The sequence below is a fragment of the Homo sapiens genome, chromosome 16 (genome assembly GCF_000001405.40).
Source record: "Homo sapiens chromosome 16, GRCh38.p14 Primary Assembly".
NCBI lineage: Eukaryota > Metazoa > Chordata > Mammalia > Primates > Hominidae > Homo > Homo sapiens.
The window spans coordinates 2,155,782-2,168,592 of NC_000016.10; the positions used below are offsets into that span (position 1 = coordinate 2,155,782).

The 12,811-nt window shown below is 63.5% G+C and overlaps 1 protein-coding gene across 4 annotated transcripts in view, besides 13 other annotated features; it reads left to right on the forward strand.

Annotated features, from left to right (window-relative positions):
• TRAF7 (TNF receptor associated factor 7) overlaps positions 1 to 12,811 on the forward strand; it is a 22,348-nt gene continuing 9,537 nt past the window's right edge. For 3 of the 4 annotated variants that reach the window (XR_007064922.1, NM_032271.3, XM_005255627.6), the window contains exons 1-4: positions 1 to 77; positions 8,102 to 8,220; positions 10,098 to 10,155; positions 12,296 to 12,387. Coding sequence is in view for 3 of the 4 variants with exons in the window: in NM_032271.3 (NP_115647.2) it covers positions 8,140 to 8,220; positions 10,098 to 10,155; positions 12,296 to 12,387 (231 nt within the window). In the remaining variant the exon portion in view is untranslated. Of the gene's footprint in view, positions 78 to 8,101; positions 8,221 to 10,075; positions 10,156 to 12,295; positions 12,388 to 12,811 lie in introns of those variants that run through there. The other variant, XM_011522700.2, reaches the window with a different exon arrangement.
• Positions 46 to 135: a silencer, noted in NCBI's record as "silent region_7033". NCBI's record gives its function as "represses an Ori minimal core promoter by ATAC-STARR-seq in GM12878 lymphoblastoid cells {active_cell/tissue: GM12878}" and the evidence as "EXISTENCE:reporter gene assay evidence [ECO:0000049][PMID:35858748]".
• Positions 436 to 535: an enhancer, noted in NCBI's record as "active region_10256". NCBI's record gives its function as "activates an Ori minimal core promoter by ATAC-STARR-seq in GM12878 lymphoblastoid cells {active_cell/tissue: GM12878}" and the evidence as "EXISTENCE:reporter gene assay evidence [ECO:0000049][PMID:35858748]".
• Positions 546 to 685: an enhancer, noted in NCBI's record as "active region_10257". NCBI's record gives its function as "activates an Ori minimal core promoter by ATAC-STARR-seq in GM12878 lymphoblastoid cells {active_cell/tissue: GM12878}" and the evidence as "EXISTENCE:reporter gene assay evidence [ECO:0000049][PMID:35858748]".
• Positions 546 to 1,190: a biological region, named in NCBI's record as "H3K27ac-H3K4me1 hESC enhancer GRCh37_chr16:2206391-2206972".
• Positions 609 to 1,190: an enhancer, noted in NCBI's record as "H3K27ac-H3K4me1 hESC enhancer chr16:2206391-2206972 (GRCh37/hg19 assembly coordinates)". NCBI's record gives its function as "activates a minimal SCP1, AML or CMV promoter by ChIP-STARR-seq in primed H9 embryonic stem cells {active_cell/tissue: H9 hESC(primed)}" and the evidence as "EXISTENCE:reporter gene assay evidence [ECO:0000049][PMID:30033119]".
• Positions 1,191 to 1,774: an enhancer, noted in NCBI's record as "H3K4me1 hESC enhancer chr16:2206973-2207556 (GRCh37/hg19 assembly coordinates)". NCBI's record gives its function as "activates a minimal SCP1, AML or CMV promoter by ChIP-STARR-seq in naive H9 embryonic stem cells {active_cell/tissue: H9 hESC(naive)}" and the evidence as "EXISTENCE:reporter gene assay evidence [ECO:0000049][PMID:30033119]".
• Positions 1,775 to 2,356: an enhancer, noted in NCBI's record as "H3K27ac-H3K4me1 hESC enhancer chr16:2207557-2208138 (GRCh37/hg19 assembly coordinates)". NCBI's record gives its function as "activates a minimal SCP1, AML or CMV promoter by ChIP-STARR-seq in naive H9 embryonic stem cells {active_cell/tissue: H9 hESC(naive)}" and the evidence as "EXISTENCE:reporter gene assay evidence [ECO:0000049][PMID:30033119]".
• Positions 3,523 to 4,105: an enhancer, noted in NCBI's record as "H3K27ac-H3K4me1 hESC enhancer chr16:2209305-2209887 (GRCh37/hg19 assembly coordinates)". NCBI's record gives its function as "activates a minimal SCP1, AML or CMV promoter by ChIP-STARR-seq in naive H9 embryonic stem cells {active_cell/tissue: H9 hESC(naive)}" and the evidence as "EXISTENCE:reporter gene assay evidence [ECO:0000049][PMID:30033119]".
• Positions 4,106 to 4,687: an enhancer, noted in NCBI's record as "H3K27ac-H3K4me1 hESC enhancer chr16:2209888-2210469 (GRCh37/hg19 assembly coordinates)". NCBI's record gives its function as "activates a minimal SCP1, AML or CMV promoter by ChIP-STARR-seq in naive H9 embryonic stem cells {active_cell/tissue: H9 hESC(naive)}" and the evidence as "EXISTENCE:reporter gene assay evidence [ECO:0000049][PMID:30033119]".
• Positions 7,189 to 7,690: an enhancer, noted in NCBI's record as "H3K4me1 hESC enhancer chr16:2212971-2213472 (GRCh37/hg19 assembly coordinates)". NCBI's record gives its function as "activates a minimal SCP1, AML or CMV promoter by ChIP-STARR-seq in naive H9 embryonic stem cells {active_cell/tissue: H9 hESC(naive)}" and the evidence as "EXISTENCE:reporter gene assay evidence [ECO:0000049][PMID:30033119]".
• Positions 7,691 to 8,190: an enhancer, noted in NCBI's record as "H3K4me1 hESC enhancer chr16:2213473-2213972 (GRCh37/hg19 assembly coordinates)". NCBI's record gives its function as "activates a minimal SCP1, AML or CMV promoter by ChIP-STARR-seq in naive H9 embryonic stem cells {active_cell/tissue: H9 hESC(naive)}" and the evidence as "EXISTENCE:reporter gene assay evidence [ECO:0000049][PMID:30033119]".
• Positions 8,600 to 9,373: an enhancer, noted in NCBI's record as "H3K27ac-H3K4me1 hESC enhancer chr16:2214382-2215155 (GRCh37/hg19 assembly coordinates)". NCBI's record gives its function as "activates a minimal SCP1, AML or CMV promoter by ChIP-STARR-seq in primed H9 embryonic stem cells {active_cell/tissue: H9 hESC(primed)}" and the evidence as "EXISTENCE:reporter gene assay evidence [ECO:0000049][PMID:30033119]".
• Positions 9,374 to 10,146: an enhancer, noted in NCBI's record as "H3K27ac-H3K4me1 hESC enhancer chr16:2215156-2215928 (GRCh37/hg19 assembly coordinates)". NCBI's record gives its function as "activates a minimal SCP1, AML or CMV promoter by ChIP-STARR-seq in primed H9 embryonic stem cells {active_cell/tissue: H9 hESC(primed)}" and the evidence as "EXISTENCE:reporter gene assay evidence [ECO:0000049][PMID:30033119]".

The following is a 12,811-nucleotide window of genomic DNA, read 5'->3' on the forward strand; positions in this document are numbered from 1 at the left end:
CCCTTTCCCGGCCGGCGGCCGAGGGGGCATCATGAAGCGGGCTGGCGGCGCTGCCGCTCCCGGGCGGCCGCGGGCGGGTGAGTGTCCCCGCGGCGCGCCCGACCCGGGGCTCGCGCCTCGGGACCGCGCGGTGGGGCGGGATCGGGCGCGTGGAGATCGAGGCGAGGCGAGGCGAGGCGAGGGGTCGGGCCGGGGCGGGGAGGGGGGGGCGGGGCTGAGACGGTCGGGGTCGGGGTCAGGGTCGGGGTCCGCGTCGCTGTCCGTCCGCCAGTCAGTAGTCCGTCCCTCGCTCCGTCCTGTTCTCGCGCAGTTCTTTACTCATTCCTTCTTCCTGCATTCCCCGAGACTCCCGGGTGCCAGGCACTGTTCTGGGCGCCGGGAGACCGCGGAGAACACGGTCCCAGTTCTCCTGTGCTCGGCGTCTGCTGCAGGGTTCCCCAACCTCCGCACCATCGACCACGCGGCCCGGGTCGCTTTTTGCTGCGAGGAGCTGCCCTGTACATTGTAGGATGTGGAACAGCTTGCCTGGCTCCTGGCCGCTAGATACCAGTAAACACCACCCCTTCCTCAATTGCGATAACAAATGTCTCCATGCATTGGCAAATGCCTCCTGCGGAACAACTCCCCCCATCCCCCATCTAGACAGACAGGGTGGTGGGATTGACAATAGGTAGTTAAAATCATGGGGAGCAGCGGTATGTGCTGTGAAAGAAAGAAAGAGGGTGCTGAAAAAGTGAGTACTGGCCGGGGGTAGGGGCGGCGCTACCGTTAGCCAAAGGCCTGTTGGAGAAGCAGCCAGTCCCAGGACATGCAGGAGGAGCATTCCAAGTAGAAAGAGCCAGATGTACATAGGCCTGGGGTGAGAAGGGGCCTGACGCACCCCAGCAAGCACTGGCAAGTGGAGAGGTGAAGTCGATGAGGCCGGACCAGGCTCACAGGGTGCATGGTGGGGTGGGGCGGGGGGGTTATTATGCTGGCAAATGACTTGGGGTTGAGGAAGCGCTGGAGAGGCGGTCCGATCTAGGTCCAGTAAAGAGCTTTCTAACTGTGTGTGGACCACAGACTTCAGAGTTCACTGGGGAAGCAGGAGAGAGGGAGGCTAGGCCATCGTCTCCTAGTCCCCACTGGGGTCCTGCTGTCAAGATACGGTTGTCTTGAGCCAGGCCAGAGTGGTCAGCTGGGGTTGAGTCTGGAGTCCAGGGGCAGGGGCCTGCTGGAGCCCACCCTGCTCTTGGGGGTGAGGGGCTGCTGGCTTGCTCAGGAATTTCATGCCGCCCAGCCTGTCTGCCCACCTTTCTCACTACCCCTCAGACCCCTTCCTGGGCACACACAGGCCCCCTAGCCCTCGCCAAGTGAGGAGCCTCCCTCTTCCTCATTCCTTCTCTTTGGGCCTCTCCCTTCCTAGACCCCTTCCCTGTGCCTCTCTGTTGCGAATATCCTGACTTCACTGTTCTGGGCATTCATAGTTCTCTGTGGAAGCCTCGGGCCCCGTGTCCTGAGGGGGAGCAGTGGTATGGGCAGCCTGGCCTAAGGAGGGGAGGGGCTGGGAGTCAGCACCCCAACCTGACGCCCCAACCTGAGGGTCTCTGGTGAAGTGACTTCCACCGTGGCCCACTGGGGCCAAGTGTTACGATATTTCTGGAAGTGAATGGAAAAGTTCAGGGTCTTTGGCACCCACCGAAAAGTGCCTTTGGCAGATTGAGTGGCGATTGGTGGGGCTCCTGCCCCTCTGTCTGCCTGTGTCCCCCACAAGGCTCCTAGCTCCTCCCGGGTCAGATTCGTGTTCAGCCGTCACACATCCCCACCCTCCCGCATGGGGCCTGGCACCCCGTGGTTGGTGTGACTCTCGGCCAGCTGGTTGGACAAGGAATGAGCAGTTTGGGGAAAGGAGGAAGATGCAGTTGAAGAGCCTCCTGGCCAGGAGGCCTGGGCAGCCTGGCTCTGGGATGCAGCCACTCCCCGGCTTGGCATGGGACTGGCTCAGGCGCTGCCGGGGCTCCTGGATGTGTGGCAGCCGTGGACGAAGCAGAAGGAATGTGACTCTGGTCACAGCGGCACAGCCTGCTGGCTGTGTCCCTGGGCCGGCCTCTCCGCCTTCCTCAGCCTCCATGGTCCACTCAGCAGAGGAGCTGCTGTCTGGGGTGCCTTCACTCTTGACGGATCCATCTTCTCTCGGCTCCTTCCAGACAGGGTTCTGGCTCTATTCCGTTTTTCGAGAAGCCCGAGGCCAGGAGGGCAGGTACACAGCTGTGAAGTGGTAGAAGTGGACTTTGAACCCAGCTCTGTCTGAGCCCAGTGCCTGTGGCCTTGACCACGGTGTCACAGCATCTCCTGGATGGACACCCTGCGGGGTCAGGGAGGGCATGTGGGGAGGGCCGAGAGCTGTTGGCTGCGTGTGTCTCAGTCCGGCCTTCTCAGTGGGTGGGCACCGAGGACTTCACCAGGCCCTCTGTGTGGATCATGCGGGGGGAACCTGTGGAGAGGGACCCACCAACCCCTTAGTCTTTGACAGATCCGCTGCTGTCCCCAGCCTTGCTCCCTGGAGGAGGAGGGTGCAGCCAGGTGGGGCAGGTGAAAGGGGAAAGCGGGCACTGGAGGCTGGGGCTGGTCACGTGTAGACCCGGACACCCTCACCCGGCTGGAGGAAGCCGGCTGCCTGGAAACTCGGGGTGGAGGTGACCCAACCCCAGAAGCACCCAGGTGGGAAGTAGGGGGCAGCGACGCAGAGGGCCAGGACTGAGGGCCGTGGGACGGTGTGGGAAAGGAGGTGGCAGTGCGGTGGCACGCTGGCATGAGGGCGCTGGGTGACTGAGGGGGTCAGTGGTCTCTGCCCTCACATTCCTGTTGCCTCTTCGGGCCCATGTATGGCCAGTGTTTATGTCAGCTCCCTGCTGCTGCAGGGCAGAAGGAAGGAGGGAGCCCGGGAGACCGAGCCACACAGGAAGCAAATGAGAACACAGCGTGGGACTGGGAAGCGTGGGCTCGGCGGGGGGGGGGGGGACACTGCCACCCTTGGCTCTTGGGCAAAGCTCACGACCTGTTTCTGAGAGTCTGAGGCCCACTTGACTTGGGTGAGAGCCAGGAACGCACTCCCCAGCCCAGAGCTGTGAAGCTGGGGTCTCTTCCTGTGCCCCAGGATACTCTCCCCACTCTGGATCCCAGCAGCCTCATCCTCCAGGAAGCCCTCTGGACTTCCCCTCGACTGGGCCAGGTCCCCACACAATAGACAGCCATGAGATACAGGGGAAAAAAGGACTGAGAGATGTTGCCAGCCCCCAAGGGGTCGGAGGGGCAGCAAAAGGCATCCTTACTGTGAAGTTGGGGTAAAGCCTTGGCCGAGCTGTGGGGACCCCCTCCCTGGAGCAGAGGGAGATACGGACGCTGGAGAGGCTTGGCCAGGGCAAGACAGGCCTGGAGGCTGAGTGGATGCAGTAGGAGCAGAGCTGGGGGAGGAGTTCAGAGGCCTCTGCAGAGCTGGGGCTGTGGGTGTTGGGGGCAGGGACAGGCAAGGGGGTTCGCCGTGCTAGGAGGGAAGCGGGGCCAAGCCGGCCTCAGACCAGGGCCTGCTGGGGTTCTGAGGGGATCCTAAGGACCAAGGCTGGCAGAGGCCGGGGCACCCCAGGAGCCTTCGACGTCACACCCTGCCTATTTGGGATGGAAAAAACGTTCTAAGGGACGTCAGGGAACAGCGGCGGAAGTGCGTGTGGCTTTGCTATGGCAACCAGGCCTGTTTCTATAGAATTTAGCGGCCTGGGCTTGGGCCAGGGGGCTGAGGCAGGGGCTGGGCTGGGGCGGGCAGTCTGTGGGTGCCCTGGGCAGGCTCTGTGATGCCAGGGGCCACGCTCGGAGCTCTGGCCGCAGTCCAGCCAGCCGGCCACACACAGCCCTGTGGCAGGCGGGGCGGAGGCTTCTGGAGCCGTCCCAGGCTCCTCCCAGGGCAGTTGCAGGCCTCACAGGCACACCCACCCATGGCTTGCGCCCCACACATGTTCAGGGGACCCCCACACCCCACCTGCTCCGGGTTGCTGGAGGAGCTGCTTTAAGGCCGGGCCTGGCCCGAGCAGGGAGCTGCATCTGGAAGCCCCCATCTCCCCCACTCAGCAGGGCCCCCCAGGCTGCTGCCAAGTGGGCGGGGACCCCTGACCCAGACCCCCTCCAGGTGTGTCTCCAGGGAAAGGGGTGGGTGTCCGCATCCCACATGCCCCCAGGGCGATGCCCCAGCAGAGCCCTCTAAGCCCAGCTTGTGGGAGCTAGGGAGGGGCTCCTGAGGGATTTGCCGAAGAGGGGCTGGGGTGGAGGCAGCGAGGCGCTGAGGAAGACTTCCACTTCCTTATTGCACAGTGGGTGCCCCCAGGGCCCCGGAATCCCTCCTACGTGAATGTGGGGTGGACAAAGACCCTGGGCCTGAATCCCAGATTCAGGCGAGGTCAGGGAGGGGCTGCCCTGCGTTGGCCCCAGCTGGAGGGGACGGTGGGGGGCCAATCCTGCCCTTCCCCTCTGCACGGTGCTGACCCACGCACCTCGCCCCTGAAGGTCAGCACTGGCCTTCCCCAGGGTGGATGCTGCGCTTCCTCAATGACTTTTCTCTTTCAAAGATCGAATACTCCTGGAGCATCCAGCATGGGCAGTGTGGACGGGCAGGTGGTGTGGACGGGCAGGTGGTGTGGACAGGCAGGCGGTGTGGATGGGCGGGCGGTGTGGACGGGCGGGAGGTGTGGACCGGCGGGCGGTGTGGGTGGGCGGGAGGTGCTCGGGCAGGCGGTGTGGATGGGCGGGCGGTGTGGGTGGGCGGGCGGTGCTCGGGCAGGCGTGGTGGGGACATGGAAGGGAGGGGTAGGGGGGCTGATGGGGAAAGCCCTTTCTCAGCCACTAGCTGCCCCCATGGCTTTTCCCGGTTTGGGAAGAGTCTCTCATTCTATGGAACACACCCCCACTTCCCCAGCACTGGGAACTGGAGGGCAGAGAGGCCAGAGAATTGAAGGGGAATTCTCACTCCGGTTGACAACTTCCTGCCCGGCCACCCCCCAGCCTCGATGACTGTGGGGTGGGGAAAGAGGCACTCTCCCTCTGGGGGGCCAGGGCATGCCCCCAGAAAAGCCTCCCAGCCATCAGGGGATGCTGAGCTATTGTGCTTTCCAGTTGTGGCCCAAGGGGTCCTCTCCCTACTGGGGAAACTTACTGCAAAACCCAGTCCCTGGGGACTGGGCTGAGGGGAGGCCTCGGGCATCTTGCTCAATTCCGAGGTGCGGGGATGGATCCTGCCTTAGGGCGGGACACAAACGTTCCCTGGCCTCCAGCCCCAGGGTCCCGCCCGCCTCCATGTCCCTGGCTGGGGCTGAACACTGAACCCGAGTGAACTGGGAAGCAGCCTCCTGTGCAGAGTATCCCCCTCCTTCCCTCCCTCCTTCCGTCCCCCTCCCTCCCTCCGTCCCCCTGCTTCCCTCTGCCCCCTCCCTCCCTCCGTCCCCTCCCTCCTTCCGTCCCCCTCAGCTGGCGCTCGATGGGGTCTTGCGCACACCCCACAGATCCTGTGGTGTTGTCCCCGTGGCCCGGCTGCTGTTGGCCAGCTGGGACTTTCTGGCTGATTTGCACATTGCCCTGCGTGCCTTTCTGTTCACCTCACTTCAGAGTGAGGGGGAAGCCAGACAGTTGCTCTCCCAGACTGTGAGCAACAGGCACTGAGGCCAGCCCGACCCATCCCAGGGGAGTGCCTGCTGGGGTCCTGGCCACCTGGGCCCCCGGGCAGGCATCACTGGCAGGGCTTGCAGCTGGCCCTGGGGCCCCGGAAGCTTGCAGTACAGGGAGCTGATGGGTTTGTAAAATGCAGGTCAGTGTCTCCTAGTGGCTGCCCGGTGATCCCCTCCCTGCTCCCAGAGGGCAGGAGCCAACCTGGGGCTCCCAAAAGGGCTGAACCTCCTGTGCCGAGTCATGGCGCCCTGCACTTCAGGCTATCAGGGCCTTACCCCAGCTGGGACATCCTCACCCCAAGCACAATGGCAAAAGGCAAGCCCTGGCCAGCTCTCCCCGACCTTCCTGCCGGGAGCTGCTGGAGACGGGATAGACATGTGCCAGGGCAGAGCAGCCTTGTAGACACACCACGACCACACCTCTGTCCCAGGGCTGACTCCTCTGAGCCTGGCTGCAGGTGTGTGGCACTGCCCACACTCAGGAGCCCCTGCCTCTTCCACAAGAGAAGTCCCCCGAGAGCCTAGTCTGGGTCACACAGGGCCAAGCCCCTCGAGTCGCAGTGGGGCCTGGGGAAGGCCGAGGGAGGCTTTGGCCAGGCCCCATCTCCCGAGACCATGGGACGCAAAGATCAGGTGGGGCCAGGTAGCTCGTGGCGCTGCCAACTGCAGGGGCTGAGATGTCGGGTTGAGCCCGAGTCCTGAAGGCTGAGTGGCTCCAGGGTGGGTGGCCTTCCAGGTGGCATTGGAAGGGACAGGTGGGCCTGGGCAGCCTAGAGAATGGGAGAGGAGACAGCAGGAGTGGTAGACAGCCCAGGAGCTCAGGTGCAGGGAACCAAGGGCTTGAGAGCCAGCCCCTCCCTGCACACCTGTAGGCCGGGCTGGGGGGCCCCAGGCCAGACTGTGGGCACGGTGGTGGGTGATGAGTGGCATCTTGAAGGCGCATGCAGGGCGGGCATGGCCAAAGGGACCCAGTCAGGAGGGACTGATGGAGGAGGTACTGGAGCCAGCTGGGCTCAGTGATGCCCCCTGAGCTGTGCTCCTGCTGGGTGGGGGCAGAGACCAGCTCCGCCACTTTGGCCTGGGACTGGGACTGTCCTGCTCCTCTCAGGCCCCTGGGGCCTTGGTTTGCAGCCCGGCTTCCCCAGGGTGAGAGCAGGGCCGCAGGAGTGGGCTCCCTGCTGCTGCACCGCCCCCAGAGCAAGCTTGTTCTGAGGGCTCCTGCCTTGGGAGCTGAGCCCATGGTGTGTCCTCATGGGGTGCTGCGCATGGGCCTCGAGGTGGACAGTGCAGGTGGGCCCGGGGCAGGAGTCCTGGGCACGTGGCCTTCCTCCCCACAGGGAGCTCAGCTTCAAGCCGGGGCTCGGCTGCGCTATCCGCTGCCAGCAGGAGACAGGGCTGTCCCAGCTGCATTCTGCCAGGCTCCTGGCTTCCAGGCTGCCCAAGTCCTGAAAGTGGGACCTGCTCGGGAGGAGGGGCGCCTGCTGACAGAGCCTGGTGCCTCACGGGGGGAGAGTGGGCGTCATCCAGCATGGACAGCCCCTTCCCCGGGCTCTGTCCTGGGTGTGACCTGTTGGCTGGGTCTCTTTTTCTCTCTAATGTTTACCTTCCCCTACTGGTGTCCCTGGGCCTGGCCAGCACTCCCAGCACCCACGGAGGGGCCACGTCTCCCCCAGGCCCACCAGCCCCTCTCTTCTGGGGAGGGTGATTCCCGCATGCCTTCTCCCTGCCCCCCCACCCACCAGCCCCTGAGCCCCTGTGGCGTGGCTGGGAGTGTGGGTGACCTGCACGGGTTCCAGGGGCGGGCTCATCTCTCTCCTGTGCTTTTTTCCGTGCAGTGCGGTTTGTGTGGAGTTGGGCTCCGGTGACTCACCCTGCAGGTTCTTTCTCTGGGGTGTGGCTGGTGTCTCCCCGCTGCAGCCTGGTGCTGGCTGGGTCCTGACCGCACCTGTCGTGGCAGGAAACACATTCGTCGTGCCTTGGCTGGTCCCTGTGTGACTGCGTCCCGCCACGTGGGCCACACCCTGGGCCTACCCACCAAGGCCCAGCCTTGGCCCCAGGGACATTCAGCCTGGAGGTGACTGGCTGTGACTCAGGACCCAGAGGAGTAGAGGGAGCCAGGCAGGGGTCCCTCCACCTCGGGGAAGAGCTGGATGGGCTCTTCGGGAGCTCAGAAAGGCTAAGCCTTGAGGGACGGTGACGCAGAGCCGCCTGCCTGCCCGGGCCTCTGCATACCTGGGATCGGGGTGAAGGACCTTTGCCTCCTAGAGGCCTGCCTGAGCCGGGGCTGGTGGTGGAAGGCTGCTGCGGCGGCCCCACGGTGCCCCACAGCAGGTCTGCACACTTGCAGCAGCCCGTCTGACTCACAGGGGCCTGGGCTCCATCTCTCAAGCCCCTCATTTGTGCTCCACCCACAGGAGGTGCTTCCCAAGGACCGTAGATGCCTCTCTAGAGCATGAGCTCAGGCAAGAGTGCCCGCTACAACCGCTTCTCCGGGGGGCCCAGCAATCTTCCCACCCCAGACGTCACCACAGGGGTAAGGGTGTGCCCCTCTGCAAGCCCAACATCCCCAGGACCCCCAGCATGCCCCAGGGATCTGGTGTTGCCTGCAGAGCTCCCAGCGCAGTCCCGTCCCGAGCTGGGGTCTCAGGGGAGCTCGGTGGGGGGGGGTGTGGTGTGTGTGTGTGTGTGTGTGCGCGCGCGCGCGCGCGCGCGCACGCGTGCGTGTGTGGTTGGGGCGTGTTAGTGCTGTGTGGCGCGGCCTGGTTGCATGGTTAAGCGTGTGAGTGCTGCGTGGCGCGGCCTGGTCGCATGGTTAAGCGTGTGAGTGCTGCGTGACCTGGCCTGGTCGCATGGTAAAGCGTGTTAGTGCTGCGTGGCGCGGCCTGGTTGCATGGTTAAGCGTGTTAGTGCTGCGTGGTGCGGCCTGGTCGCATGGTTAAGCGTGTGAGTGCTGCGTGGCCTGGCCTGGTCGCATGGTTAAGCGTGTTAGTGCTGCGTGGCCTGGCCTGGTCGCATGGTTAAGCGTGTGAGTGCTACGTGGCCTGGCCTGGTCGCATGGTTAAGCGTGTGAGTGCTGCGTGGCCTGGCCTGGTCGCATGGTTAAGCATGTTAGTGCTACGTGGCGCGGCCTGGTCGCATGGTTAAGCGTGTTAGTGCTGCGTGGCGCGGCCTGGTCGCATGGTTAAGCGTGTGAGTGCTGTGTGGCGCGGCCTGGTTGCATGGTTAAGCGTGTGAGTGCTGCGTGGCGCGGCCTGGTCGCATGGTTAAGCGTGTGAGTGCTGCGTGGCCTGGCCTGGTCGCATGGTTAAGCGTGTTAGTGCTGCGTGGCCTGGCCTGGTCGCATGGTTAAGCGTGTGAGTGCTGTGTGGCGCAGCCTGGTCGCATGGTTAAGCGTGTGAGTGCTGCGTGGCCTGGCCTGGTCGCATGGTTAAGCGTGTTAGTGCTGCGTGGCCTGGCCTGGTCGCATGGTTAAGCGTGTGAGTGCTGTGTGGCGCAGCCTGGTCGCATGGTTAAGCGTGTGAGTGCTGCGTGGCCTGGCCTGGTCGCATGGTTAAGCGTGTGAGTGCTGCATGGCCTGGCCTGGTCGCATGCTGAAGCGTGTGAGTGCTGCATGGCCTGGCCTGGTCGCATGGTTAAGCGTGTGAGTGCTGCGTGGCCTGGCCTGGTCGCATGCTGAAGCGTGTGAGTGCTGCGTGGCCTGGCCTGGTCGCATGGTTAAGCGTGTGAGTGCTGCATGGCCTGGCCTGGTCGCATGGTTAAGCGTGTTAGTGCTACGTGGCGCGGCCTGGTCGCATGGTTAAGCGTGTTAGTGCTGCGTGGCGCGGCCTGGTCGCATGGTTAAGTGTGTGAGTGCTGTGTGGCGCGGCCTGGTCGCATGGTTAAGCGTGTGAGTGCTGCGTGGCGCGGCCTGGTCGCATGGTTAAGCGTGTGAGTGCTGCGTGGCCTGGCCTGGTCGCATGGTTAAGCGTGTTAGTGCTGCGTGGCCTGGCCTGGTCGCATGGTTAAGCGTGTGAGTGCTGTGTGGCGCAGCCTGGTCGCATGGTTAAACGTGTGAGTGCTGCGTGGCCTGGCCTGGTCGCATGGTTTAGCGTGTTAGTGCTGCGTGGCCTGGCCTGGTCGCATGGTTAAGCGTGTGAGTGCTGTGTGGCGCAGCCTGGTCGCATGGTTAAGCGTGTGAGTGCTGCGTGGCCTGGCCTGGTCGCATGGTTAAGCGTGTTAGCGCTGCGTGGCGCGGCCTGGTCGCATGATTAAGCGTGTGAGTGCTGCGTGGCGTGGCCTGGTCGCATGGTTAAGTGTGTGAGTGCTGCGTGGCCTGGCCTGGTCGCGTGTTAGGCATGTGAGTGGGCTCCACATGTGCACGTCCTCCTTGTGTCCCGGAATGAGGCCAGGTCTCCTCCGTCCTCCCTCTAGACCAGAATGGAAACGACCTTCGGACCCGCCTTTTCAGCCGTCACCACCATCACAAAAGGTGAGCCCTTAAGCCAAGGCCAGCCCAGGCTGGGAATAACCGGGGCACCCCCATGCCCACCCTGCTAAGGACTGAGGGACACTTCCCGGTGAGCTGGTGTTGGGTGCCAGTGCTGGGCGCGGGCAGCCTCACACCGCAGCCTGTGTCCTCACAGCCTCTCAGCCCTGGGCCTCCCCACTGGACAGGAGTCGGGTGTCCTGCTCCTTGTGCCTCGGTGACTGTGCTGTGCCCTCTCTCCCTGCCCTCTTCATCCCCTCTAGGGAGGCTTGCCCTGACATCTCCAGCACCACCACACAGCCCTGTCCCTTGTCACAGTGATCCCCAGCTTGTCCCCAGTCTCAGGCTCCTGGCCAGCCTCCGAAAGGTCCCGTGTGCCCGGAGGTCTTCTCTTGAGTTTGGCCCTAGGGCTTCAGTAACAGTGCTGCAGTTGTGACATGTTAATAGGAAGGGAGGGAGAGTGGAAGAGATCCATAAGTCTGGTTTGTTTTTTTGAGACGGGTGTCACTCTGTCACCCAAGCTGGAATGCAGTGGCGCAATCTTGGCTCACTGCAACCTGTGCCTCCTGGGATCAGTCCTGCCACCTCAGCCTCCCAGGTAGCTGGGACCACAGGCACCACCACACCTGGCTAATTTTTTTTATGTTTGGTAGAGATGAGGTCTCACCATGTTGCCCAGGATGGTCTCAAATTCCTGGGCTCACGTGATCCTCCTGCCTTGGCCTCCCAAAGTGCTGGAATTACAGGCATGAGCCAGCAAGCCAAGCCCAATAAATCTTCACCTGCACAAGACCACTGGGCGGGATACACGACAGAAACCTGAAGCTTCCCTGCTGCTTCTCAGTCCTATCCCCTAAAAACCAGAGTGCTGCGCTTTGAACGCAAGCGCCGTGCTCAGGGAGACCATGCGGAAGTGGCAGTGCCTTCTTCCCGAGGTGCAGGGCCAGGGACCCTCATTCCGGGGTGGGGTTCTGGGGTGACTTTGTTCTCTCTCCTTTCTGGCACTCTGCCCTTTGTAGAAGCACACTGGCTGCTAATTAGCTTTTTAATTGCTCTGATAAACCTGGCCATGGGGTCATAGGGCCGCCAAGGACACCTGCTTACAGTAGCGCCTCTTTGCTGCTGGTGATCCCCTCAGGGGCTCTCCAGGGGCCCTCTTTTTTTTTCTAATCCTACCCCCCAAAAAACGGTGCCTTTTCATCTACCCTTAGAAGCCCCATGGCCCCTGTCACACGGCGGAAGGTACCCATGATGGGGCAGGGCACGGCTGCTATGCCTGGCCCCTCGGCGGCAGGGATGGGCAGAGCCAGGCAGCAGGGCGCCCACAGGTACCTCACCTGGCCCCTCATGACAGATGGGGAAACCGAGGCCCAGTCACACGGCAGCCTCTCGAGGCCTCAATCTCGAGCCCAGGGCTCATCGTGACATCTGAGCTGGGCTGGTCCTGAGTCCGGGAGGTGTCTCTCTCTGCCTCCCACGTGGACTGACCGGCCGGTAGCCCTGCCCTCTGGCCCTGGCCAAGCTGGGGTGACGTGTGGGCAGGAGGAGGGAGGGCACTTCAGCTCCTGCCCCAGAGGAGGCCACCAAAGCTGGGGCCACTTCCTGGTCCTGGCTGTGCCAGGGACACCAGGATGCGGTCCTGGCCCTTCTGTATCCCAGCCCACACCTCAACCTCAGCTTCCCCCTCTGTGAGTGGAGGCTGTCAGGGAACTCACCTGGCAGAGGTGCCTCAAGAGGCAAATAAAATGGCACCCCCAGCTGCTGCCAGGCGGCCTTCAGAGTGATGGCTGCGTGCTGGCCATGAGCCTCAGCTGGCTCAATTGGGGTGCTGGGGAGCTTGTAGAGGCCCTGAAAGAAGACCCTGCCTGGGGTAGGCAGGGCTGGGGCAGGGGCTACCGGGCTCAGCGCTGGGACTGTCCAGATGTAGACCGAGCCCAGCGTCCATGCTCCTGGCACTGGTTTGACCTTGAGAGGGAACCCAAGCTTCCCCCGTGCCATCCCTGCATGCTTTCCTGCCTGCCTGGCCCTGGGGAGGGCTGTGAGCTACAGGGGACCCACAGGGTCGGGTATCCAGCATGGGCCCCACCTCCCCCACATCTGCTGAGGGAGCCCCCACTGAGACGCCAGCCCTCTTGCCTTGCAGCTGACGGGACCAGCACCTACAAGCAGCACTGCAGGACACCCTCCTCCTCCAGCACCCTTGCCTACTCCCCGCGGGACGAGGAGGACAGCATGGTAGGTCCCTACCCCCAGGAGCCCGTGTGAGCCTCAGCCTCCCCCCATCCTCCCTCCTGGGGGAACCAGGTCCCAGGAGGAGTTGACAGTGAGCTGGTGAGGCACAGGAGAAGAAGAGCACCTGTGGATACCCTGAGGCCTCGGCAGACATGGCAAGTCTGTGAGAAAGGAGGCTCCTGTGGCTGGACTGTGGGTGGCAGGGGGCAGCCAGTGAGGGCAGCTGGGTCAGAGGGCCTGGCACCTGCAGGCCAGGATGAGGCATATTTGGCTCCATCTTAAGGGAGGTGGAAACCACAGAAAGTTCAGTCAGGAGGATAGCACAATAAAATACATGCTTTGAAAGCTTCCTTTGCTGCTGGGTAGGGAATGAGCGGGGTTGCTGGGTCCAGGCAGGGTTTGAGGAGGGGTCCTGATGAGGCGGGGG